Raw genomic sequence first — 24,682 nt, 5'->3', positions numbered from 1 at the left:
CGTTTTTGGAATGCATTATTTTCCAACTTAAGTAGTTTTATAATCATGAGTTAATTCACTATTATTAAGGACAGAAATTCTGCAGGCAGCCTGAGTTGAAATTTGACTTCAACACTTACTATGTGCCCTTCTCCCTCAGTTTCTTCATTTGTAAATGAAAATAACAAAAAATAACCTATATCATAATATCGGTAGAGTTTAATAAATTAATAAAGCACAAGAAAACCACGTACTAGGCAGTACTTAAGAGTCAACGATCATTCTTTTTCTTGCATATGAATCAAGCAGCAGGGTGGGGCTTTAGAATAAACAAGAATTTTTCAGGTTAAAAACTGTTTTTAGTAACTTACAAAATGCTCTCTACAAGAAAACTACAGCAACTTGTCATTGAAAAAGTACGGCACATTTTTAGCTAAAGAATCTTATGTAGCAATACACAGGCCATGAAACCAAAAGAAAAACAAACAGCAAGTTGATCACTTAGGTGGAAAACAGCACTACAGTATAAGGAAATCATTAGACTTGGATTCCAGCCCAGCCTTTGATTGATGCTAACTTCTCCTGCCCTCAGTCTAGTACATTACTTCTGCAGGTTTTAGCGATTCCTGTTTGCCATGAGACATACATTTAAGGTAATTTTTAAAGGAAATAAGGATGACAAACGAAAAAACTCACTATGGACTTTGAAAGACTTTTCATGGCTAAACAAGCAATCTGAAATGCTCATTTAAAAGTGATGGGACTACCAAGACTACATCTCATAGAAACACACCATTCAAAGCACTTGCGAAAGGATTCTCAAAGGCAATATCTGTAAACATACAAAAAAGACAAGTAATAAAGCTGTTTTCTTTCAGTTATTAAAAAGCCCACTAAATAGGAAAGCAAAGAACACAAACCACACCTCCGGGTTAAAGCCGAGGTTACCACAGGCTTTCACGACGACGAACCTGATGCCTAAATTACCTTTTCCAGCATCTTCCGCTCTCTCTCTAGTCCAGCAGCTTCAAGCTGTTCTTCCTCTTCTAGCATGGCCGGGGTAATCACAGCAGTGTCCAGTTGTTCAACCATTGCTGGAGCCTCCGAGCCTGACGGGGGAGAAAGCTTTCAAATTGCAGTTTTAAAAAAATTACCAACTACTCAACTCCAACAAGAAACAGCCTTTCTCCCACCCGAGATGCACTGGAGCAAAAGCTGAAGACCGAGGGGACGCCAGCATCACCTCTCAGAAGACACCGTAAGTCTTCACAATGTCTACAAGTCGCCTGGACCACAGTTTACAACTCGGGATGCTCGGGAAAATGCAGTTGCCTATGTGAAATCTTCACCGGCATGCTAATACGTGCGATTCCGGGGTGTCCTCCACTCACCGTTGCAGTTTCCCAACCCTCCTTTCCTCCTCAGTCCCTGCCCGGGGTCGGCTCCCTCCCCGAAACTCCGCCGCAGCCTCCATGCTTGCCCACCTCAGCCCCGCAGGCTGCCACCCGCGCCCAAAAGGTTTTCCTCACTCACCGCCGCTGCCCGCGGGCCGTTCCGCTGGCATGCCTGGACACTCACCCGGGAACCGGGTCCCCTCCTCTCAGAGCCTGCAATGCCGCGAGCTAACTCCTCACAACCGCTGCCGGCCCAGCCTTCTAGCCAAATCCCCCGCCAGGGAAAAAAGCGCGCTTCTCCTTCGCGGGAAAATCCTGTCATCTCGCGATACCTTACATTCCCCACCCGCCCTCCCGCCCCGCTGCGCGAGATTTGGCGCAGCTTGCGGTTTTCGTCAGGACTGACCTGTGGCAACCGTAAACCTTTACCTGGACCTCTCTCAGGAGGAAACTGGGTCCCGCTGCCGAACTCAGCCTGTAACTATCCTGTGAGATTGGGCGAGGTGGCCGATCGTGGAGAACCCAGTTTCCTCACATATCTGGTTCCGAACTACGCAATTAAAGTTTGATAGTGCTGTTAATACTTTGCAAGGCGCCTTCCAACGCTGGCTGCTGTGATTGAGCACCCGCTAGCCCATGATCCTGTAGGTAGAGACGTCTGCGTATCTGCACGAGGATGTCAGAAACAGAAACATTTTTATAGGGCCAGCCTCGCCGCACCCGCAGCGCGCGGCTCACATCTTAAGTGAAAAATCCCCCAAAATGACAAAGAGGAGGGCTTTTTTGTGGGTGGGACGGGAGAGAGAAGGAACAGGAAATTAAGATTATGACTGGGTTAAAGAAAGCTGTTTAGGATAAGGGCAAGCTGAAAGAAGTGATGGACCAAGCGGAGTGGCCAGCAGAAGGAAGATTCAGGAAACCAAACAGGATTCATTCATTCGAGTGGGCAGTGAAGGAAGGAGCGGAGCTTTTCTTGTCCCTGGTTTTCACTTCAGCTTTCAATTCCTCCTTTTCTTGTTTGCATTCCTTTTCAACTATTTCCTTTGTCTCCCTCTCCAGGGCTCCCTTTCCCACCTCCAATTTCTTAAGATGTATGGCATTAAATATACCTACCATGTAACCACCCGTTTCCTTCATTTTGACTCCCACAACTTGTATGATTGTGTCTATACAAAATTTAAGAGTTTACAAGCCGGGTGCGGTGACTCACGCCTGTAATCCCAGCACTTTCGGAGCCCAAGGCGGGTGGATCACGAGGTCAGGAGTTCAAGACCAGCCTGGCCAAGATGGTGAAACCCTGTCTCTACTAAAAATACAAAACAGCCGGGCACGGTGGCAGGCGCCTGTAGTCCCAGCTACTCGGGAGGCTGAGGCAGGAGAATCGCCTGAACCTGGGCGGCAGAGGTTGCAGTGAGCAGAGATCGCGCCATTGCACTCCAGCCTGGGCAACAGGGAGAGACTCCGTCTCATAAAAAATAGAAACGAAACCTAGTCTCTATATTTTATTTTATTAAGATAGGGTCTCACTCTGTCGTCCAGGCAGGAGTGCAATGGCACGATCTCTGCTCACTGCAATCTCCACCTCCTGGGCTCAGTTGATCCTCCCACCTCAGCCTAGCAAGTAGCTGAGACTACAGGTGCGTGCCACCACGCCCGGACATTTTAGTGTCGGACATTAGCCCATTCCAGGCTAATTTTTGTTGGTTTGGGGTTTTTGTGTGTTTTTGTTTTTTGGTAGAGACGGTTTTTCGCCATGTTATCTAGACTGGTCTCGAACTCCTAGGTTCAAGGGATCCTCCCAACTCGGCCTCCGGAAGTGCTGAGAGTGCAGGCGTGACACATTGTGCCTGGCCCCTACAAACATTTCCAAAATTAGCCGGCTGTGGTGGCACATGCCTGTGGTCCTAGTACTTGGGAGGCTGAGGTGGGAGAATCACTTGATCCCAGGTGGTCAAGGCTGCAGTGAGCCGAGATTGTAACACTGCACTCCAGCCTGGGTGATAAAGCTACACTTTGTCTCAAAAAAAAAAAAAAAAAAAAAAAAAAAAAAAACCATGGGAATAAAGGGAAATCTTGAGTTGCTTCAAGGGAAATTCCAGGAACCTAGCTAGCCCTGACAAGTAAATAAGCAACTTGATAAGGAAGAAGGTAATGGTAGCCTAAAACAACAGCCCAGGAAGTTAGATTCAGGAGATGTTTGGTTCCTTTATAAAAACTAGAGATAATATCTTAACACATGTCTCTGAGTTGTTTTTTAGAAACCCCAAGCGCCACCAAACACATGTGCTGGCACTCTGCTGCCTCATTTGTTCTAAATTTATTCCTAGGGGCCTGGAGGAGGTCACACACACAAGCAGAGCTAGCATTCTTTTCTGCTGATCCCAAATTTTTATTTTTTAATTTTTAAAAATTGAGATGGAGTCTCATTATATTGCCTAGGCTGGTCTCAAACTCCTGGGCTCAAGCCATCCTCCCACTCAGCCTCCCAAGTCAAAGGGAAAGAAATTTTGGGATTACGGGCACACTCTACCACACCCAGCTCCCCAAATTTTTAGACAAAGCTTCACCTCCTGAACCAACTGCAAATCAGAAAACCTTTTAATCCATCTATGACCTACCTTTTAATCCACCTTTTGACCTACCTACCCTTTGAGATGGCGGTCGAAACAATACATAGACTCCATGTATTAATCAATGACTTTGCCTGTAATTTCTGCTTTCCTGAAATTTACCCCTGCCTTTAAAAATCCTTACCTGCAAGCCATCAGGGAGTTTGGGTCTTAAGCATGAGCTGCCCCAATTCCTACAGCTGCAAAAGCTCAGTGTGGAAGTCTTGTCTTCCTGAGCCAGGCAAGTGGACCACAGTTCAGTTCTATAACAGTACCTTACGTTAAATGGTTCAATTTGAAGCCCTCCAATCAGACCCTGCCAAGCCAACATTCCTAAATCTTTTCCCTTGCTCTCTGATCCCTTAAAATTTGCCCTAGACCTGGCCGGGCACGGTGGCTCACGCCTGTAATCCCAGTACTTTGGGAGGCCGAGGTGGGTGGATCACGAGGTCAGATTGAGACCATCCTGGCTAACGTAGTGAAACCCTGTCTCTACTAAAAAATACAAAAAATTAGCCGGGTGTGGTGGCACGCGCCTGTAGTCCCAGCTACTCGGGAGGCTGAGGCAGGAGAATGGCGTGAACCCGGGAGGCGGAGCTTGCAGTGAGCCGAGATCGCGCCACTGCACTCCAGCCTGGGCGACAGAGCGAGACTCCGTCTCAAAAAAAAAAAAAAAAAAAAAAATTGCCCTAGACCCTAAATCAGGGAGACAGACTTGAGCCCACTCCTGTCTCCTTGCTGACCACTTGCAATAAAGCCTTTCGTCAAAGGCAGGTGCCATAGTTTTTGGCTTTAGTGTGTAACGGGCAGTGAGCCCATTTGCTTGATAACATTTTTACTCCTAGTTCATTCAATATTATTTCAAGATAAAATGTAGCCTCTGTTAATAGCTACTCTTAAATCCTATCTCCTAATCGAAAACTTAGCTGTTTCATTCTACTTAAGATTTGCTTTTTGTTGTGTTTTGAGACAGGGTCTTGCTCTGTTGCCCAGGCTAAAGTGCAGTGGCACAATCATAGCTCACTGCAACCTCAAATTCCTGGGCTCAAGTGATCCTCCCACATCAGCCTCCTGAGCAGCTAAGTCTACAGGTGCATACCACTACACCCAGCTAATTTTTTAAAATTTTCTGTAGAGACAGGGTTTTGCTATGTTACTCAGGCTGGTCTTGAACTCCTGGGCTCAAGGGATCCTCCCACCTTGACCTCCCAGAGTATGAAATTACTGGCATGCCAGAGCGTGAGCCACTTCACCCGCCACCCTCACTCTACTTAAGGTTTTTGGGGCCGGGTGCAGTGGCTCATGTCTGTAATCCCAGCACTTTGGGAGGCCAAGGTGGGTGGATCATGAGGTCAAGAGATCGAGACCATCCTGGCCAACATGATGAAGCCCATCTCTACTAAAAATACAAAAATTAGCTGGGTGTGGTGGCACACACCTGTAATCTTAGCTACTAGGGTAGCTGAGGCAGGAGAATCACTTGAACCTGGAAGGCAGAGGTTGTAGTGAGCGAAGATCATGCCACTGCACTCCAGCCTGGCGACAGAGCAAGACTCCATCTCAAAAAAAAAAAAAAAATTTTTTTTGACCTTTACCAACCTATCCTCCAAAATTTCTTTCCCTTTGACTTTTGAAACACTTTTTATGGGGTTTTTCCCTAATGTACTGAAAAATCTTTCCTTGTTCCTTCTTTTGAATTCTGATATGGTTTAGCTGTGTCCCCCACCCAAATCTCATCTTGAATTGCAGCTTCCATAATTCCCACATGTTGTGGGAGGGACCTGGTGGGAGATAATTGAATTATGGCAGCAGTTTCCCCCATACTGTTCTTGTGGTAGTGAATAAGTCTCACGAGATCAAGATGAGATGGTTCTATAAGGGGAAACCCCTTTCGCTTGGCTCTCATTCTCTCTCTTGCCTGCCACCAAGTAAGACATGCTTTTCATCTTCTGCCTTCTGCCATGATTGTGAGGCCTTCCCAGCCACGTGGAACTGTAAGTCCATTAGCCTCTTTTTCTTTATAAATTACCCAGTCTTGAGTATGTCTTTATCAGCAGCATGAAAATGGACTAATACAAATTCAACTGTGGCCCACCTCCCCAAATCTTTCTTCCATTCATTGTTTTTCTCTAGAAACTTTGTTCCTTGGACCTTCTGCTCCACAGGCAAGAGAGAGAATTTGTCCAAATACACGAAATGGAGCTCAAGAAAACTTCATCTGATTCTCAAAGAACACACATCTCAACTGACATCTGGCCCCACACTTGGTAATAAAAGTGCATTGGTGCATTTCCTGGCACGTCTTTGCCGTTGTGCAAACCCTCCCTTCAAAGTGGCTGTGAACACTCTTGTTCATTCACTTTTATTTAAGGGTCTACATTTATTTTGTTTTTTCTTTGTTTTTTCAATGCCTCCTGGTTAGAAAGAATGAATAACACCTACTATTGATTGCCTAACAGGGTTACTATAGTCAATAATAATTGTACATTTTTAAATAACTTAAGGAGTATAATTGGTTTATAACTCAAAGGATAAATGCTTAAGGGGATGGATACCCCATTTTCCATGATGTTTTTATTTCACAGTGTATGCCTGTATCAAAACATCTCATGTACCCCATAAACATATACACCTACTGTGTACCCACAAAAATTAAAAATTAAATTAAAATGTCTCCTGGATACCAGGAACTATCACAGGAGCTGTACAGCAATGAACCAGACAGACTACATCCCTGTTGATATGGAACTTACATTCCAGGAGTTGGGATGAAAAGGGGGAAATTGCAAAATATTAGAATAGGGTGGCATGAGAGTGACAGGATAGTTATTTTAGATTGGGTAATTGGATGTCTGAAGAAGTGATAGGCACTTTTGTGTGTGTGTGTGTGTGTGTGTGTGTGTGTGGGATGAAGTTTCACTCTTGTTGCCCAGGCTGGAGTGCAATGGCGCAATCTTGGCTCACCGCAACCTCCGCCTCCCGGGTTCAAGCAATTCTCCTGCCTCAGCCTCCCGAGTACCTGGGATTACAAGCATACGCCACCAAGCCTGGCTAATTTTGTATTTTTAGTAGAAACGGGGTTTCTCCATGTTGGTGAGGCTGGTCTCAAACTCCCGACCTCAGGTGATCCACCCGCCACGGCCTCCCAAAGTGCTGGGATTACAGGCAAGAGCCACCACACCCAGCCGAAGTGATAGGCACTTTAAGCAGAGAACCAAATGCCAAGAAGCTAGCCAGCCTGGGGGAAGAGCAATCCAAGCAGAAACTACACGTGTACAGAGAGTAAAGCAGGAATACACTTGGGCATGTTTGAATATCAGAGAGAAGGCCAGTATCACTGAAGCCGAATTGGCAAGGGGGAATGGCACAAAAAGTCAGAGGCAGACCCTCCAGATAAGGCACTGGGGATTTTCTTCTAAGTATGATGTTACAAGTCATTTTTCCCTACCCACACAAAATGTCTTCCTCTTATAGAATCCTTTTCATATCAATGTGCATAACCATCCATCCAATCATAGAAGTCAAAACAAAAGAAAACCCTGGCTCCCTCTTGTTACGGTAGATGGCCCCACTTCTGGCCTACCTAACAAAGGAAACAATAGCTACAAGACAGAATTCCCCATTCAGCTTACCAACATCAAATTTACAAACCCATCTGCATCCTGAATACCTTTCTCACTCTCTCATCTTGTGCTCTGGATCCAACTCCCTGCTGCCTATTCAGAAATTATTTTAGATTAGAAATCATTATTCCCTCTTTTTAAAAGATAAAATCTCACTCTGTCACCCAGGCTGGAGTGCAGTGGTACCATCATAGCTCACTGTAACCTTTAATTCCTGAACTCAAGGAATCCTCCCACCTTAGGCTCCAAGTAGCTGGGATTACAGGTGCAAGCCACTGCACCCAGCTGGAACCTCCTATTTCCCTACCAACTATTTTCAGTTCTCTCTTCCCCTTTAAAGCTTACTTTTATAATTGTCTACACTAGCAATGTTTAATTCCTTGCCTCCCACTGATTCTTCAACCCTCTGTCTCATTGCAACATTCAGCATACATCAAAGTAGCCCACTAAGGTTTAATGACTTCAATGTTGCTCAGTTTAATGGACATTCTCAGTTCTTATTTGAATCTCATTGCAACATAACACTGTTAATCACTCCTTTATGGAAACACTCTTGTCCGTTGTCTTTTCTGACCCCACATTCTCTTGATATTCCTATTCCTGACTTTTACTAGTTCTCTTCTACCCAACCTTTAAATGTTTAACTTTCCGAGTGAACCAGAAACTATTTGAGTTTCTGGTCACTGCATAATATCTATAATAGAAAAAAATTTAAATGAAAAGGTAAGTGCAGTGAGGAATGGACCGAAATAAAAACAATCCAGTCATCCATATCTACCATAGGTTAGTGCCATGCACTATTTTGGGTACTAGCGCTTCAGTAGTAAATAAGACAATGTTTTTGACCTCAGAGTTTACACTGTAGTGGAAACAATAGACAGCACTATAAAGTAGTGTCAGTTGGTGATATATAATAGAAATTATAAAGAAATATGAAGCAGGGTAAGGTCATGAGAATAGTGGATACATGTTGAGAGAAAAGTCCTCTGAGGAAGTGACCTTAAGCAGCGGTATAAAGTATAAGCCATACAAAGACCTAGACAAAAAACACTTCAGAGGGAAGAAAGACCTCAGGTAGATAGAAGGCTGACAAATTGAAAAATGGCAGTAAGTCCACTGTGTCTACAGGCAGAATGTTTATAAATTGCAGCTGAAATTGGAAAGATGCACAGTGACCAGATCAAGTAGGACCATGGAGACTAGGATAAAGAGTGTGGATTTTTATTACGAGGAATGCCATTAGAGGATCTTGAGTAAAAAAATGATAGAAATTAATTTACACTTTTTTTTTTTTTTGAGACGGAGTCTTGCTCTGTCGCCCAGGCTGGAGTGCAATGGTGTGATCTCGGCTCACTGCAACCTCCGCCTCTTGGGTTCAAGCGATTCTCCTGCCTCAGCCTCCCAAGTAGCTGGGATTACAGGCACCTACCACCATGCCCAGCTAATTTTTGTACTTTCAGTAGTGACAGGGTTTCACTATGTTGGTCAGGCTGGTCTCAACTCCTGACCTCAAGTGATCCGCCCACCTCAGCTTCCTAAGGTGCTGGGATGGCAGGTGCGAGCCACCGTGCCCAGTTGATTTACACTGTTAAAAGGTAATGAAACATGTAAGCTAATTAAAAATTTCATAAGATGTGTTTGCTTTTCAAGGGCTCACATAAGAGGCTTTTTTGTTGCCTAACTTACCCCATTTTTTTTTTTTTAAGACGGAGTCTCGCTCTGTCACCCAGGCTGGAGTGCAGCCGGCGATCTTGGGTCACTGCAAGCTCCACCTCCCGGGTTCACGCCATTCTCTTGCCTCAGCCTGCCGAGTAGCTGGGATTACAGGAATACCCCACCAAGCCTGGCTAATTTTGTATTTTTAGTAGAAATGGGGTTTCTCCATGTTGGTAAGGCTGGTCCCGAACTCCTGACCTCAGGTAATCCGCCTGCCTTGGCCTCCCAAAGTGCTGGAATTAAAGGCGTGAGCCACCGTGCCCAGCCCAATTTTTTTTAAAATGTTTTTGAGAAAGTGTCTCACTCTGTTGCACAGGCTGGAGTCCAGTGGTGTGATCAGTGTAGCCTCAACCTCCCAGGCTCAGGCAATCCTCCTACCTCAGCCTTCCAAGTAGCTGAGACTACAGGCACATGCTACCATGCCCAGCTAATTTTTAAATTTTTTGTAGAGATGGTCTCACTATGTTACCCAGGCTAATCTGGAGCTCCTCAGATCAAGTGGTGCTCCTGCCTCAGCCTCCCAAAGTGCTAGGATCACAGACATGAGCCACCGTGCTCAGCTGTGACCAGAATTTGAAGCTTCACTTTCTGCTTTTATACCATTGTGTATAGCATTATGCCTGAGGATGAAAAATGAGAACATATATACCCCATTGTTGTCAATTTTATATACTCCTTCAAGTCTATATTCATTTATCATTTACATATTTATTATAAAGATGATTTTTCAAATACATTGCAATAATACAAAAGTCATTTTACTTTAAATTTAATAAAGTCATTATTGTTTACGTAAATGTTCAAATGAAACACTTTCATAATGTAATTTTAGTCAAATTTCCTTCCTGGTGTTTACTGGAAAATAAATGGAATCTACAAAATAAAATGCACATAAGCAAATTCTCATTAATTGAGATCAAGGGATGATCAATATGAACAGCAGAATATCTTGAAAGAAAGGCAATTTTGGAATTTCCCAAATCTTAAAACTTTATGTAGCCTAACAAAATATTAAGAGGCAGTGCTTGGCAATAATCAGGGCTTAAGACATATAAGTGTATTAATTCAAATTTCCCATGTTTGCAATTACACTCTTACCAAGCAAACAATATTTTTAAAGAGCAGGGCTTTCTCTGGAGTGGTTAGTTTCCCTGAAATCCTGGATTTCATTTTAGTTTTTACATGTTGTAAAGCAGTGATGTTCTAGTTAATGAGGTTTTATTAGAGTTGAGAATTCATATTTTAGACAATGCTTGTCAAACAGCAAAATAATACGATTCCATACAAAAATAACATTTTTTTCCTCTCAGAAGACTGTTTTCTGACACTATCAATTAGTCATGACAAATTTTAATTTTAATGTAACTTACTGTCCAATGCTACCTTACACTTTTTTGACTCTATTTTATACTAGTCCCTGCTGTCTGAACACACTCTTGGAATATAAAATAATTTTATCTTACCCAAACAAAAACATAAAATTAAAAATAAAAATAAATCATATGACATTATGAAGTAAGATAAATTATTTCATGATTATCTGCTTTAGAATTATACCCTTCAGTAGTGTAGACTCTAAAGAGTTGACTGGCCTAGGTCAAAATAACATTAGTTCCTAAGCTGCAAGGAACGCTATTATCTTGAAGTCAGAGATTTTGAAAATGTCAATGTCATTTTGCAAATGCTACCTAATTTTATAAAGTCAAACAAATATACTCAAAGGTCACATATGCAAAAGACATCAGCAAAAGCTGACTATACAAAACTATGCGAGTTACTGGAGTCTTCTAACAGCATTTTTTTTTCTAACAGCATTTAAATAAGGCATTGTAGACCTGGACTAAAGGAACATTAAGTAAGAAATATATATATTGAGTAGACAAACAAATGAAACACCATATTAAATTTCACATTATTTTGAGTATTTTAGGAAAAGTTTTTTTTTAATTGAAAATATACTGTAACAACAACAACAAAAACTGCCATATACTGACCATGTGAATTATCACATATTTCCTACATACTGGGCTCAAGAGAAGATACAGTACAATATTTTAGCTGCCAGTACTGTCAGTCTAAAAAGACTGAAGGCTTAGTGCATTCCTTGGAAGACAAATTTGGCAAACAAAAACAAAGATTATTTCCTTTGTTTCCTTGAGATGCAGTTAAATAAAACAGATATCCCCAAAGTAATGAAGACTCATTTCAAGTAATTACTCTGCTTACCAGTTTTATTTACACAGTAATTGTTATGAGTGGTTTTTAGTGAATTCTTTGTATTTACATTTTATATACACATTTATACTTGAAAGGTAAAGAAACTGTACAATAATAAAAAAATAAGAAAAACAAATACAGTAACTTAGGTCCAACTGAGGAAACAAATACATGAAAGTATGATTAAATTTAGTCAGGTAGTATAACCTGAATGAGATTACTGCCAGATGTTATATTCCCTCTATCAAGGATACCAATACCAAGGAAGTAGTTACTGGAGTTAAAAGGTCATTCTAAAACCTGCTAAGACCATGGCCACTCCTTCAATATTTTATTATATTACCAGTCTCCAATAAGTAAGTCCCTATAATAGCAATTACCTTTTGAGGGTTCTACTAGTAGTCCTTAGACTAGAATGACCCATGGGGTAAAAATATATGGACACCCTAGGGCCCCATACTCCTAAAGAGGCAGTCACTACACTAACAAGGATCGCAGGCTTGTTAGTTTGAAAACTATATACACTAACAGAAATAGTGTGCTTAAGTGTTGTTTCAAACTAAACTGCAACATAAAAACACACTGTAAATCTAACCAAACAGCATGTTATATAGCCATCACTCATAACACTCAAGTGATTTAGGTTCAAATTTAAACATAATAGGACAATAGCAATATGTCATTAGAGATCAGAGATCTCTGTCAATCAGATATAGCCTTGCCCCCACCTAAAGATGTGTTCGCTGCCTCATGTATGTCTCTAGTAGCAGTTCCGAAAGCCAATGCATTCACTCTTGGAAAGACAATGTCAATTGTTCTGACATTGCTGTTGACTACATTTAACTAATTCTATGATATGGTACTAGAGCTCAGGAAATACATCAAGCCAGGTCACTCTGTTCAGACCTCCCAAGGGAAACATGTTCCCTGGACAGCACCTGACTGGGAAAAGACTGTTAATGTTGCTATAAAATGCAAAATAGTAAAAGCAGCATTTTCCCCAATTTACTTTTCAGTGAGAAAGCCAAGCAGAAACCCAATGCAGCACATTGTGAAGAGTTTCAATGCTCTATTTTCAGCAGTTAAGCCAGGCATACCACCTCCTTCATCTGACCTGGATCCTGCTCTGGACTTCAAGGAAACACACACCTGATTAGCAGTTCAAGAACTCGACATAAAAATAATTCATGCTATGTTTCAATTGGAGGGTCATGACACTGTTGGGCCCACAGGCAAAGCATTCATAAGTCAATTTAATTTAAGTTCATATCTACCTTTTTGAAAATGACTCCCTATGTTACAATGAAAGAATTCATCAAATAATGATTCAATCATGCAGCACTACTTCCTAGAGTTGGCAGGGAAATCATGCATTTCTTGGCGGTTGAGAGAAGGCTGATCCAAAAACACAGTGAAGAGATGTTCCCATTCCTCAAAGTATTTCACCTCCATGGGCATGATGATTTAAAACCTGCTAAGTTCCCGAACCTATGCAAAGTGGCCAATGTGAGGAAGCAGAAGTTGGATAACTCATTCAGAGGCTACCAATTTTCCAAAGAGTCACTATCTAGACTAGCGGATAGTGAGGTAGACGAGGGCAGTATCAAGACCTTCCTTGAAGAAAGCAATGATGAGTAAAGAAGATGAGGATGGGTTATAGGCAGCATTTAGTGTACCATGTGAAGAGATTAAGATGGCACTGACACATAAAAGAATCAATAACAAGACTAATCTCCTTACCCAGCTTCTTCAGGCAACTGAATCAAGAGATAGGATGTAGACTTAGAAAAAAAATTAACTTTACCTTTTTCTTTTATTCTTATTTCCACTGATTAGGAAAAATTATGCATAGAGTTTTACAAGTCACAGATTTAGCTACATATTAGATTTCAAATTTCAAACTGGAGTTAAACAGTGGAAGAATTGTAACTAAAAAATATGAAGTCTTGCCAAGTAGCATGCTGTTTAAGAACTCTCAGGATTCATTACTTTTTACTCTTATCACTGAGAAACATCATATATGTTTTTGGACTTACTCTCAAAGTCAAGTCTTCAATCCACTGAAGTGCAAAGCACTTTCCTTCTACCAGTTATTTATAGTTTTCTTAATGTCAAATTATTAGATGAATAATTTGTTAGACTAGAACCAGAATGGCTAAAATTCTCTGAGTGATAGGAATTCCTTAAGGAAGACAAAAAATTTCCCTTAAAAAACAAATGGACACCATACTATGGAAAAACATCTAAACAAACAATAAACAATCTCCCACCAACATTTCCAGTTCCTAGGTAACTCGAATTTGCCCCAACTTGTGAATGAAGATAAATGACATCTTCAGTGACTTAAATAATTTACAACCAAATCTGTTCATTACTGGTCTATAATATCTTCAAAAGGTCAGAACTGGAAACAATGTCTGTACTATAGTACTTTGGAGGTTAACAGTAGTATTTAACAATCCTACTCTAGCCTCCAGAATATCTTTGTGGTAACTGTTACAAAAGAAAAGATGTAAAAATTTGAAGTATCTTCAAAGCTATTTTAAAAATTTATTGCATTTTGTTTACTCCAAATTGTGGAATATAAACTCACCACTTAAACTTTTTCCTTTGAAAAATGACTCTACCTACAAAATAATAGTTTATTAATACTGTCAATAAGTTACTTATTTCATTTACTTCAGCCATAAAATGTAAAATCAGCAGTTTTCCACCTCTTGATTCTTTTAGGTATCTCCAACATTTTCTTCCACGCCTTTTACATAGGAAACAAAAAACCTTTATCCAAAAACCACTTTTTCTATGTCAGTTAGTCTGTCAATTTTGAAGACTAGCTTTTCAAAGCAGGACTACTGTTCTTGTCTCCTTCTTTAATATCCTTCATTACAGATGCAAAGACCTGAAAATTATATAAAATAAAGATTAATCCTCAAAAACTACCACCCAGATTAAAGAGATTTAAATAACTATAGTTCATAAACATGAAAAAGCTTTATTATACTTAACACTGTCCCCGAAAGTGTGTCATTCTCAAATCCCCTTTATTTTTTTCTAATCATGAAATATGATTAGATTCCAATTTTTACCAATTGCCAACTATTCTGAAATTACTATTTGGTAACATAACATTTTCTGAACCAATAAGACTGTGAATTTAATAATGCCAATTGTTTATATCATTCATGGATTGAGTGATACTGCTATCCTTTTATGTCACTTAACTTAGATTGCCAATGCTTTTACTTTCCTAACAAGACTAAGCATCTAAAAGCCAGGACCATACATTATATATTCTTTCAACTACAAACCCTAGTACACAGTAGGTATTTAATATAATAAAATTGTTGTCTATTTGAAATACCAAAATAATAACTACTCTGGCAAATAAATGACTACTGTGGGTTGTACTTCACTAAATTGATAATACTGGACTTAAATAAAATAAAGCCCAGTCAAGTGCAGTGGCTCATGCCTGTAATCACAGCACTTTGGGAGGCTGAGGCGGGCAGATCACAAGGTCAGGAGATCGAGACCATCCTGGCTAACATGGTGAAACCCCGTCTCTACTAAAAATACAAAAAATTAGCTGGGCGTGGTGGCATGTGCCTGTAATCCCAGCTACTCGGGAGACTGCAGCAAAAGAATTGCTTGAACCCGGGAGACGGTGGTTGTAGTGAGCCAAGATCACACCACTGCACTCCAGCCTGGGCGACAGAGTGAGACTCCGTCTCAAAATAAAATAAAATAGGCCAGGCGCGGTGACTGACGCCTGTAATCCCAACACTTTGGGAGGCCAAGACGAGTGGATCACAAGGTCAGGAGATTGAGACAATCCTGGCTAACACAGTGAAACCCCATCTCTACTAAAAATACAAAAAATTAGCCGGGCGTGGTGGCGGGCACCTGTAGTCCCAGCTACTTGGGAGGCTGAGGCAGGAGAATGGTGTGAACCCAGGAGGTGGAGCTTGCAGTGAGCCGAGATCACACCACTGCACTCCAGCCTGGGTGACAATAAAATAACATAACATAACATAACATAACATAACATAACATAACATAACATATAAAATAAAATAACATAAAATAAAATAACATAAAATAAAATAACATAAAATAAAATAACATAAAATAAAATAACATAAAATAAAATAACATAAAATAAAATAAAATAAAATAACATAAAATAACATAACATAAAATAACATAAAATAACATAAAATAACATAACATAAAATAACATAAAATAAAATAAAATAAAATAAAATAAAATAAAATAAAATAAAATAAGCCCTATGTTTGGATAGCTGCAAAGTGGGCAATTTGATTTAAACTCTTGCTTCTTAGAAGTCAAAAATTATTTTTAAAAGACATATTTTTAAGTACTAACTTTTAAGAAATACCTAACTTTTTTACAATAAGTCAACTGCTTTAACACATCTATTAAAGATAAGAAAATGTCACTCTACCTGAGTCCATTTTTTGGTGCTATTCTGCATCTGAATGGCTGCAATACAACTGAACAGCTTTTCCGATGTGATATCTTCTGGCAATTTAGTTAGAAACTGTGCTATATGAATAAAGTCCATCTGCAGGAGAATATCTTCATATAATCGGAGGATTCCTAATCCAGTCCTAAATAAAAATTCTTCCCCATCTCTGCAAAATACATCCCAGACTCGACAGGCCAGATCAAGTGGTAGTGATTTGCTATATAGTGTGAAGATCCTAAAATTAGAGGGAAAAATGGTCACTGAAATTTTTCATTCATTGACTCATTTACTCAGTAAGCATCTCTATAAAAAAAGAACAGTGTTTAATTAGGGATAAGAAGGCAAATAACATATGGCTTTCCCATCCTGGCCAACACGGTGAAACCCCGTCTCTACTAAAAATACAAAAATTAGCTGGGCATGGTGGCACACACCTACAGTCCCAGCTACATGGGAGGCTGAGGCAGGAGAATCGCTCGAACCCAGGAGGCGGAGGTTGCAGCGAGCTGAGATCGTGCCACTGCACTCCAGCCTGGTGATAGAGTGAGACTCTGTCTCAGAAAAAAAAAAAAAAAAAAAAAAGGCTTCCTCCCTCAAACTTGAGTAGTGGGAAATTAAATAATAAATAACAAAATTATGTGAATTTACAACCTTATGTAGAGGAAAGGCCTAATATATACTAGAGTGGTAGAACAGTCTGGTAGTTAAGGGTATGAGCTATGAAACCAGAATGCCTGAATTTGAATCCTGAATTTGCCACTTATTAGTTGTGTTACCTTGAGCAGGATAGTTGTCTTTACTGTGCCTCAGTTTCTTCATTAGTAAACTATAAGAAAACTACCTACCTCTCAGGATTGTTTTAAAAATTATAGTAGTTAATAAACGTAAAAGTGTTTACATCAGCGTTTGGCATGTAAGAAATGCTAAATAAAAATTATTATTATTGTATGAAGAACTCAAATATCATCTTTTAGTAACCTAATATAAACTCAAAGTCTGACTTCTCTCTTTTCTCTTCCCCTTGCACAAACATCCATTGTTTTGTTTTGTCTTTTTCCTCCACCCAGCTTTATTTACTACTTCTTTTGAAGCATGTATACCTTCCAATAGAATCACCAAAATGGTTTTTCCCAACCTTTCTGACAATGTCTGACCACGTAATTCTTTATCCAGTGGTTCTCTGGGAGCCATTCTGGTTGGGGGAAGTGGGGAGAGTAAGTATTACAGGACTTGTCTTGAAGTTGCCTTGGCAAAGAAAGTATACAATTGTTTACACTGATTGTGTGTTTATTTGAGGTAGTGCTGATGGGGTTTGAGGAAGGGAACTAAAAGCTTCCTCGCCAAAATAATTTTTAAAAAAATCCTTTTGCACTGCCACTTATTCATTCCTATCCCACAAAAATGTCTCTGGGATTTGTATATAATAAACTCAACAGAGACATGAAACAAAAGTCCATCCCTATCTCTTAAATTACAAACACGTATTTAATCATATGACAAAAACCACTTTTGGTAGTATAAAACTCCCTGTTCAAAATGAGGAGTGCCTAGGCTCAGGTTCTAGTATACAGTACTTACTCTTTATTAGTTCTCTCCTGTCCCCCACATCAATTGTGATCCTGCTATCCCCCATGCTCACACTTCTCAAGACTGACAATGGAGGACTTTTTTTTCCTTCTTAATGGAATTAGTATTTAAACTTGGATCTCAGTCCCATAATATTAAAAAACCCTTCTCCCATTTTCTTGGGTCCTTCCCTGAGTAACTCTAATGCTCTTGGGGGACGGGAAGAGAATACATTGAAAAATAATTTTTTTTTTAATGGAGTTTTGCTCTTGTTGCTCAGGCTGGAGTGCAATGGCAAAATCTCACCTCACCGCAACCTCCACCTCCGGGGTTCAAGCGATTCTCCTGCCTCAGCCTCCCGAGTAGCTGTGACTACAGGTATGGACCACCACGCCCGGCTAATTTTGTATTTTTAGTAGAGACGGCGTTTCTCCATGTTGGTCAGGCTGGTCTCGAATTCCCAACCTCAGGTGATCTGCCTGCCTCGGACTCCCAAAGTGCTGGGATTACAGGCATGAGCCACTGTGCCCAGCCAATAACTTAATTTTTAAAAAAGCCTAAATCAGTCGGGTCTGGTGGCTCATGCCTGTAATCTCAGCCTTTGGGAGGCCAATGTGGGAGGATCGCTTGCATCCAGGAGTTCAAGGCCAGCCTGGGCAACATAGTGAGACCCCATCTCTATAAAATAGCAAAAATTAGTTGGGTGTAGTGGTTTGCCTGTAGCCCCAGATACTCGAGAGGCTGAGGTGGGCAGACTGCTTAAGCCTGGGATTTTGAGGCTGCAGTGAGCTGTGATCACGCCACTGCACTCAGCCTGGGTGACAGAGTGGGAGCCTGTCTCAAAAAAATTAAAAAAAAAAATCCTGAACCAAAGAAGACCTGAGAAGACACATTTGACCAATGCCATTATTTATTTTTCTACATTAAAGCTTAATACCATTTACGTGAAACCCACTGGTTGTGAATTGTTAAGAATTAAAGTTTAAATATGTCATCTGTACTCTTCCCCCTCCTCAAATTATCATGTGAATTCTTTTTTTTTTTTTTTGGAGACACAGTCTTGCTCTATTTCCCAGGTTAGAGTGAAGTGGCAGGATCTCGGCTCACTGCAACCTCTGCCTCCCGGGTTCAAGAGATTCTCATGCCTCAGCCTCCCGAGTAGCTGGGATTACAGGTGCCTGCCACCACACCTGGCTAATTTTTGTATTTTTAGTAGAGACAAGGTTTCACCATATTGTCCAGGCTGGTCTTGAACTCCTGACCTCAGACGATCCACCCGCCTCGGCCTCCCAAAGTGCTGGGATTACAGGTATGAGCCTCTGCACCCATGTGTATTCTTAACAACAACCTGTCTTAAGATCAACTGCTCCATCTCTTTGGCAAAATTCACCCACCATTCTATAATCTACTGGGTATTGCTTCAAAGGCAAACTCTCCAAGTTAAAACAAAAGATTTTCAACAGAAAACATGATAAAAGACATTAGTGCCTAAATAAGGCATCATTCTTCTATCAGAAAACTGGATACATTAATAATAGGTACAAAAATAATAAGGAGTAAACTTAGGAGTAAATTTAACCAAGGAGGTGAAAGACCTCTACAAGGAAAACACTGATGAAAGAAACTGAAGAGGATACAAACAAATGGAAAGACATCCCATGTTCATAGATTGGAAGAATTAATATTGTTCAAATGACAATACTACCCAATATAATCTATAGATTCCATAAAATCCCTATCAAAATACCAATGACACTCTTCACAGAAATAAAAAAACCATCCTAAAATTTATATAAAACCTCAAAAGACTTCAAACAACAAAAGTAATCTTGAGAAAAGAAGAAAAAAAAAAGCTGGAGGCATTAGACTACCAGATCTCAAAATACACTACAAAGCCATAGTAACCCAAACAGAATAGTACTGGCATAAAAACAGATACATAGAAAAATGGCACAGAATAGAGAACCCAGAAGTTAATCCACATTATCTATAGCCAACTGATTTTTGACAAAGATGCCAAGAACACTAATTCAGGAAAGGACAGTCTCTTCAATAAATGGTGCTGGGGGAAAAACTGGATATGCATATGAAAATTAAACAAAACAAAACTAGACCCCCACTTCTCACCCTATACAAAAGTCAACTGAAGATGGATCAAAGACCTAAATGTAAGACACAAAACTATAAAACTATCAGAAGAAAACATAGGGGAAATGCTTCAGGACATTAGTCTTGGAAAAAATGTTATTAGTAAGGTCTCAGAAGTATAGGCACCAAAACCAAAAATAAACAAATTCCCATTTTTAGATTATATCAAACTAAAAAGCTTCTGCACACCAAATAAAGCAATCAATAGCATAAAAAAAAAAACCCCACAGAATGGGAAAAAATATCTGCAAACTATTCATCTGACAGGAAATTAATAGGCAAAATCTATGAGGAACTTAAATATCTCAACAGCAAAAGAAAAAAAAAAAACAAACGCCAGGCACCATGGCTCATGCCTGTAATCCCAGCATTTTGGGAAGCTGAGACGGTGGATCACTTGAGGTCAGGAGTTCCAGACCAGCCTGGCCAACATGGTGAGACCCCGTCTCTACTAAAAATACAAAAATTAGCCAGGTCTGGTGCACACCTGTAGTCCCAGCTACTCGAGTGGCTGAGGCACGAGAATCACTTGAACCGTGAAGGTGGAGGTTGCAATGAGCCAAGATCACGCCACTGCACTCCAGCCTGGGCAACAGAGTGCAGAGAATGACTCCGTCACACACACACACACACACACACAATCAATCCAGCTAAAAAATGGGCAAATGATCTGAACAGACATTGCTCAAAAGAAGACACACAAATGACCAACAGATATATTTTAAAATGCTCAACATAATTAAGCATCAGGGAAATGCAAATCAAAAGCATAATGAGGTATCCTCTTACCCCAGTTAGGATAGCTATTATCAAAAAGACAAAAAATAACAAATGCTGGCAAGGATGCAAAGAAAAGGGAACTCTTATACACTGTTGTTGTGAATGTAAAGTACAGCCACTATGGAGAACAGTATGGCGATTCCTCAGAAAACTACAAATAGAACGACCATATGATCCAGCAATGACACTACTGGGTATATACCCAAAGGAATTGAAATCAGTATGTTTAAGATAGGTCTACACTCCCATGTTTACTGCAGCACTATTCACAATAGCCAAGATATGGAATCAACCTGAGTATCCAACAACAGATGAATGGATAAAGAAAATGTGGTACATACACACAATGGAATGCTACTAAGCCACAAAAAAGAATGAAATCCTGTCATTTGTGGCAACATGGATAGAACCAGAGGACATTATGTTAAGTGAAATACTGCATGTTCTCATTCATATGCAGAAGCTAAAAAATGCTAGTCACTCTCTTTTTCTTTCTTTTTTTTTTTTTTTCTCAGAGACAGGGTCTGGTTCTGTTGCTCAGGCTGGAATATAGTGGTACAATATCAGCTCACTTGAGCCTCCTAGGCTCAAGCCATCCTCCCACCTCAGCCTCCCAAGTAGCTGGGACTACAGGTGATGCCACCATGTACCATACAGCTAATTTTTGTATTTTTTGTAGAGATGGGGTTTCGCCATCTTGCCTAGGCTGGTCTCAAACTCTGAGCTCAAGCAGTCAGCCTGCTGCAGCCTCCCAAAGTGCTAGGATTATGAGCATGAGCCATCGCACTGGCCAGCTGATCTCATAAAAGTAAAAAGTAGAACAGAGGATACTAGAGGCTGGGAAGGGTGGAGAGAAGGAAGAGATAGGCTGAAATTTGTTAAAATATACAAAATTACAGCCACATAGGAGGAATAAGTTCTAGTGTTCTATAGCACTGTAGGGTAACTATAGTTAACATATGGTTTCAAATAGGACAACTATACTGAATGTTCCTAACACAAAGAAATGATAAATGTTTGAGATGATGGATATGCTAATTACCCTGATCTCATCACTATACATTATATGTACAGAAACATCACTATGTACCCCATGGATATGTACAATTATTATGTGTCAACTAAAAAAAATATTTTAAAACTTCAAAAGAGTGAAAAGAAAAAGAAATCTTAATTCCATTAAACCACATAGCTTAAGAAATTAACTTTTAGAAAATGTAATATACATTGTTACATTGTTGCAATTACGGTTTTTTTGTTTAGCTTTTTTTTTTTTTTTTTTTGAGACGGAGTCTTGCTCTGTAGCCCAGGCTGGAGTGCAGTGGCGTGATCCCGGCTCACTGCAACCTTGGCCTCCTGGGTTCAAGCGATTCTCGTGCCTCAGCCTCCTGACTTACTGCAACCTTGGCCTCCTGGGTTCAAGCAATTCTCGTGCCTCAGCCTCCCGAGTGGCTGGGACTACAGGCACAGGCCACCACATCCGGCGTATTTTTAGTAGAAACAGGGTTTCACCATGTTGGCCAGGCTGGTCTGGAACTCCTGAGCTCAGGTGATTTGCCCACCTCGGCTTCCCAAAGTGCTAGGATTACAGGCATGAGCCACCATGCCCAGCCATTATATTTTCTTTAAAAAATGTTTATTTATATTGTATAATACTTGAACAGCAATGATTCGACCTTCACTATGACATTCTACTTCTGCATCTCAATTTCTTCAGCTCTAAAATGATGAATTTGGATTACTTCCAGTTCTAAAATCCCACCTCTCTTACAACTAAAAAAACCCTAAATATTCCTCTTCAGTAAAATCAGTGTTGGTCATGTTGTAGTTAACTTTATAAAGAATATGGTTTCTGGAACTGGACTGCTGAGGTTTTAGTTTCTATTCTGCCATTTATTAACTGTGAAATATTAGGTATGGTACTCAAGCCTATCAAAATTTCAGTATCAATTATCCAGGCATGGTGACGCATACCTGTAATCCCAACTACTCAGGAGGCTGAGGTGGGAGGAATGCTTGAGCCCAGGAGTTCCAGGTGGGAGGAGCTGTGATTGCGCCACTGCACTCCAACCCGGGCAACAGAACTAGACTGTCTCAAAAAATAAAAAATAAAAAAAAAATTTTTTAATGAACGAAAAAATAAAAAACAAAATTTCAGGTTCCCCATCAGTATGTGGTAAAAATTACAGTACATATCTTTTTTTTTTTTTTTTTAATGGAGTCTCGCTCTGTCTAGAGTGCTGTGGCGCGATCTCGACTCACTGCAACCTCCAACTCCCTGGTTCAAGGGATTCTCCAACCTCAGCCTCCCAAGTAGCTGGGACTACAGGCATGCACCACCATGCCTGGCTAATTTTTCTATTTTTAGTAGAAATCGGGTTTCACCATGTTGGCCAGGATGGTCTCGATCTCCTGACCTCGTGATCCGCCTGCCTCGGCCTCCCAAAGTACTGGGATTACAGGCGTGAGCCATCATGCCCTGGTTTACAGTACATATCTTATGTGGTTGTTCTGATTAAACAGAAAAAAAGTATGTGTGGTAGAAACTGGCTGTTTACCAAACCATTTCTTTTTCTTTCTGGGCAAACAGCTAAACCACATTTTGCATCTTCACTTGCAGTTAGTTGTGGCCACATGACTGAGTCCTGGCCAGTGGAATGTGAGAGGAGGAGATGCGTAATACCTCTAGGCTTAGCTTCCCAAAATCTCCCCTTGTGAGTCTCCTTGTTCTCTCCCCTTCTGTGAAAACCCTGAAAATGCCTTGTTAAAGACGGTGGAAGTAAAAAATGGAAGGAACGTTGGTGCCTGAATTACAGGTTGTAGGAGAGCTGTATGCCTATTAGGAACACCATTAATATCATTAGTCTTAATATGACAAACAAAAAGTCTAAAAAACTTTGAACTTTAAACACAAGTAATAAAATGGTGATCCTGTCTGCAGTATACATGATTTGGCAACATACATAATTTTTTTTTAATAGGATCTCGTTCTGTCACCCAGGCTGGAGGACAGTGGTGCAATCATAGCTCACTGTAACCTTAAACTCCTGTGCTCAAGCAATCCTCCCACCTCAGCCTCCTGAGTAGCTGGGACTACAGGAATGCACGACTATGTCTGGCCAATTTTTTTATTTTTATTTTTTGTAGAAATGGGGTCTTGCTGTGGTGCCCAGGCTGGTCTCAAACTCCTGGCCTCCAGCAATCCTCCCGCCTTGGCCTCCCAAAGTGCTGGGACTACAGGCGTCAGCCACTGCACTTGGCCTTTTTTTTTAAGCTAGAGAAAATCTAGGAAATAAAATTGTGTGTGGAACAGTAAAAAGCTGAGCTATTCATATGTGAAACTTGGAGAAAGTATATCGTATTTACATTTATTACATTTTTAAAAAAAATTTCAGACAATATGTAAGAAGGGAGATCAAATTAAAAAATTCAAATTGGTGTCATCTTGGGGAAAAAAAGCTTGATAAAACCTTGAAATAAAAAGAAACAATATGAAGCCCTTAGTAAAGAAACACTATTATAACTATCATAAGCCCTTGTGTGTTAATAATAAAATAAATAGCAACTAACTCTGAGAGCTTAGTATGTGCTAGGCATTGAATGAGATAATCCACGTAAAACACCCTCGCTACAACTCAAGATAAAGATAATATTATTCCCAATTTATAGACAAAAAACTGAAACACAAACTGAGAGATTCTGATTTCAACCCAGAGTCTATGCTCTTTTTTTTTTTTTTTTTTTTTTTTTGAGATAGAGTTTCGCTCTGTTGTCCAGGCTGCAGTGCTGGGGTGTGATCTCGGTTCACTGCAACATCTGCCTCTCAGGTTCCAACAATTGTCCTGCTGCAGCCTACAGCGACTACACCCAGCTAAGTTCTTTTTTTTTTTTTTTTTTTTGAGCTGGAGTCTCGATCTGTCACCAGGCTGGAGTGCAGTATCGCAATCTTGGCTCACTGCAACCTCCCGCCTCCTGGGTTCAAGCGATTCTCCTGCCTCAGCCTCCCAAGTAGCTGGGATTACAGGTGCATGCCACTATACCTGGCTAATTTTTGTACTTTTAGTAGAGACAGGGTTTCACCATGTTAGTCAGGCTGGTTTCGAACTCCTGACCTCGTGATCCACCCACCAAAGTGCTAAGATTACAGGCATGAGCCACCG

The 24,682-nt window shown here is 40.4% G+C and overlaps 2 protein-coding genes across 17 annotated transcripts in view, besides 5 other annotated features; both read right to left on the bottom strand.

Annotated features, from left to right (window-relative positions):
- The window catches only part of HELLS (helicase, lymphoid specific), a 68,118-nt gene extending 66,441 nt beyond the window's left edge, over window positions 1-1,677 (bottom strand). For 9 of the 10 annotated variants that reach the window (NM_001289071.2, NM_001289067.2, NM_018063.5 and 6 more), the window contains exons 1-2: window positions 1,513-1,677; window positions 967-1,088 (exon numbers count right to left, since the gene is read on the bottom strand). Coding sequence is in view for 6 of the 10 variants with exons in the window: in NM_001289067.2 (NP_001275996.1) it covers window positions 967-1,088; window positions 1,513-1,543 (153 nt within the window). In the remaining 4 variants the exon portion in view is untranslated. The remainder of the gene's footprint in view (window positions 1-966; window positions 1,089-1,512) is intronic. The other variant, NM_001289068.2, reaches the window with a different exon arrangement.
- Window positions 748-1,371: an enhancer, noted in NCBI's record as "NANOG-H3K27ac-H3K4me1 hESC enhancer chr10:96305851-96306474 (GRCh37/hg19 assembly coordinates)". NCBI's record gives its function as "activates a minimal SCP1, AML or CMV promoter by ChIP-STARR-seq in primed H9 embryonic stem cells {active_cell/tissue: H9 hESC(primed)}" and the evidence as "EXISTENCE:reporter gene assay evidence [ECO:0000049][PMID:30033119]".
- Window positions 1,372-1,996: an enhancer, noted in NCBI's record as "NANOG-H3K27ac-H3K4me1 hESC enhancer chr10:96305226-96305850 (GRCh37/hg19 assembly coordinates)". NCBI's record gives its function as "activates a minimal SCP1, AML or CMV promoter by ChIP-STARR-seq in naive and primed H9 embryonic stem cells {active_cell/tissue: H9 hESC(naive and primed)}" and the evidence as "EXISTENCE:reporter gene assay evidence [ECO:0000049][PMID:30033119]".
- Window positions 1,744-1,823: a silencer, noted in NCBI's record as "silent region_2636". NCBI's record gives its function as "represses an Ori minimal core promoter by ATAC-STARR-seq in GM12878 lymphoblastoid cells {active_cell/tissue: GM12878}" and the evidence as "EXISTENCE:reporter gene assay evidence [ECO:0000049][PMID:35858748]".
- Window positions 1,997-2,621: an enhancer, noted in NCBI's record as "NANOG-H3K27ac-H3K4me1 hESC enhancer chr10:96304601-96305225 (GRCh37/hg19 assembly coordinates)". NCBI's record gives its function as "activates a minimal SCP1, AML or CMV promoter by ChIP-STARR-seq in naive H9 embryonic stem cells {active_cell/tissue: H9 hESC(naive)}" and the evidence as "EXISTENCE:reporter gene assay evidence [ECO:0000049][PMID:30033119]".
- Window positions 2,534-2,583: an enhancer, noted in NCBI's record as "active region_3791". NCBI's record gives its function as "activates an Ori minimal core promoter by ATAC-STARR-seq in GM12878 lymphoblastoid cells {active_cell/tissue: GM12878}" and the evidence as "EXISTENCE:reporter gene assay evidence [ECO:0000049][PMID:35858748]".
- The window catches only part of TBC1D12 (TBC1 domain family member 12), a 133,792-nt gene continuing 120,242 nt past the window's right edge, over window positions 11,133-24,682 (bottom strand). For 6 of the 7 annotated variants that reach the window (NM_015188.2, XM_006717732.5, XM_011539558.4 and 3 more), the window contains 2 exons: window positions 16,005-16,263; window positions 11,133-14,437 (listed from right to left, as the gene is read on the bottom strand). In NM_015188.2, coding sequence (NP_056003.1) covers window positions 14,369-14,437; window positions 16,005-16,263 — 328 coding nt within the window. In that variant the 3' untranslated portion in view covers window positions 11,133-14,368. Of the gene's footprint in view, window positions 14,438-16,004; window positions 16,264-24,682 lie in introns of those variants that run through there. The other variant, XM_047424905.1, reaches the window with a different exon arrangement.

The sequence above is a fragment of the Homo sapiens genome, chromosome 10, assembly GCF_000001405.40.
Source record: "Homo sapiens chromosome 10, GRCh38.p14 Primary Assembly".
Lineage (NCBI taxonomy): Eukaryota > Metazoa > Chordata > Mammalia > Primates > Hominidae > Homo > Homo sapiens.
This window is presented reverse-complemented; position numbering and strand designations above follow the sequence as displayed.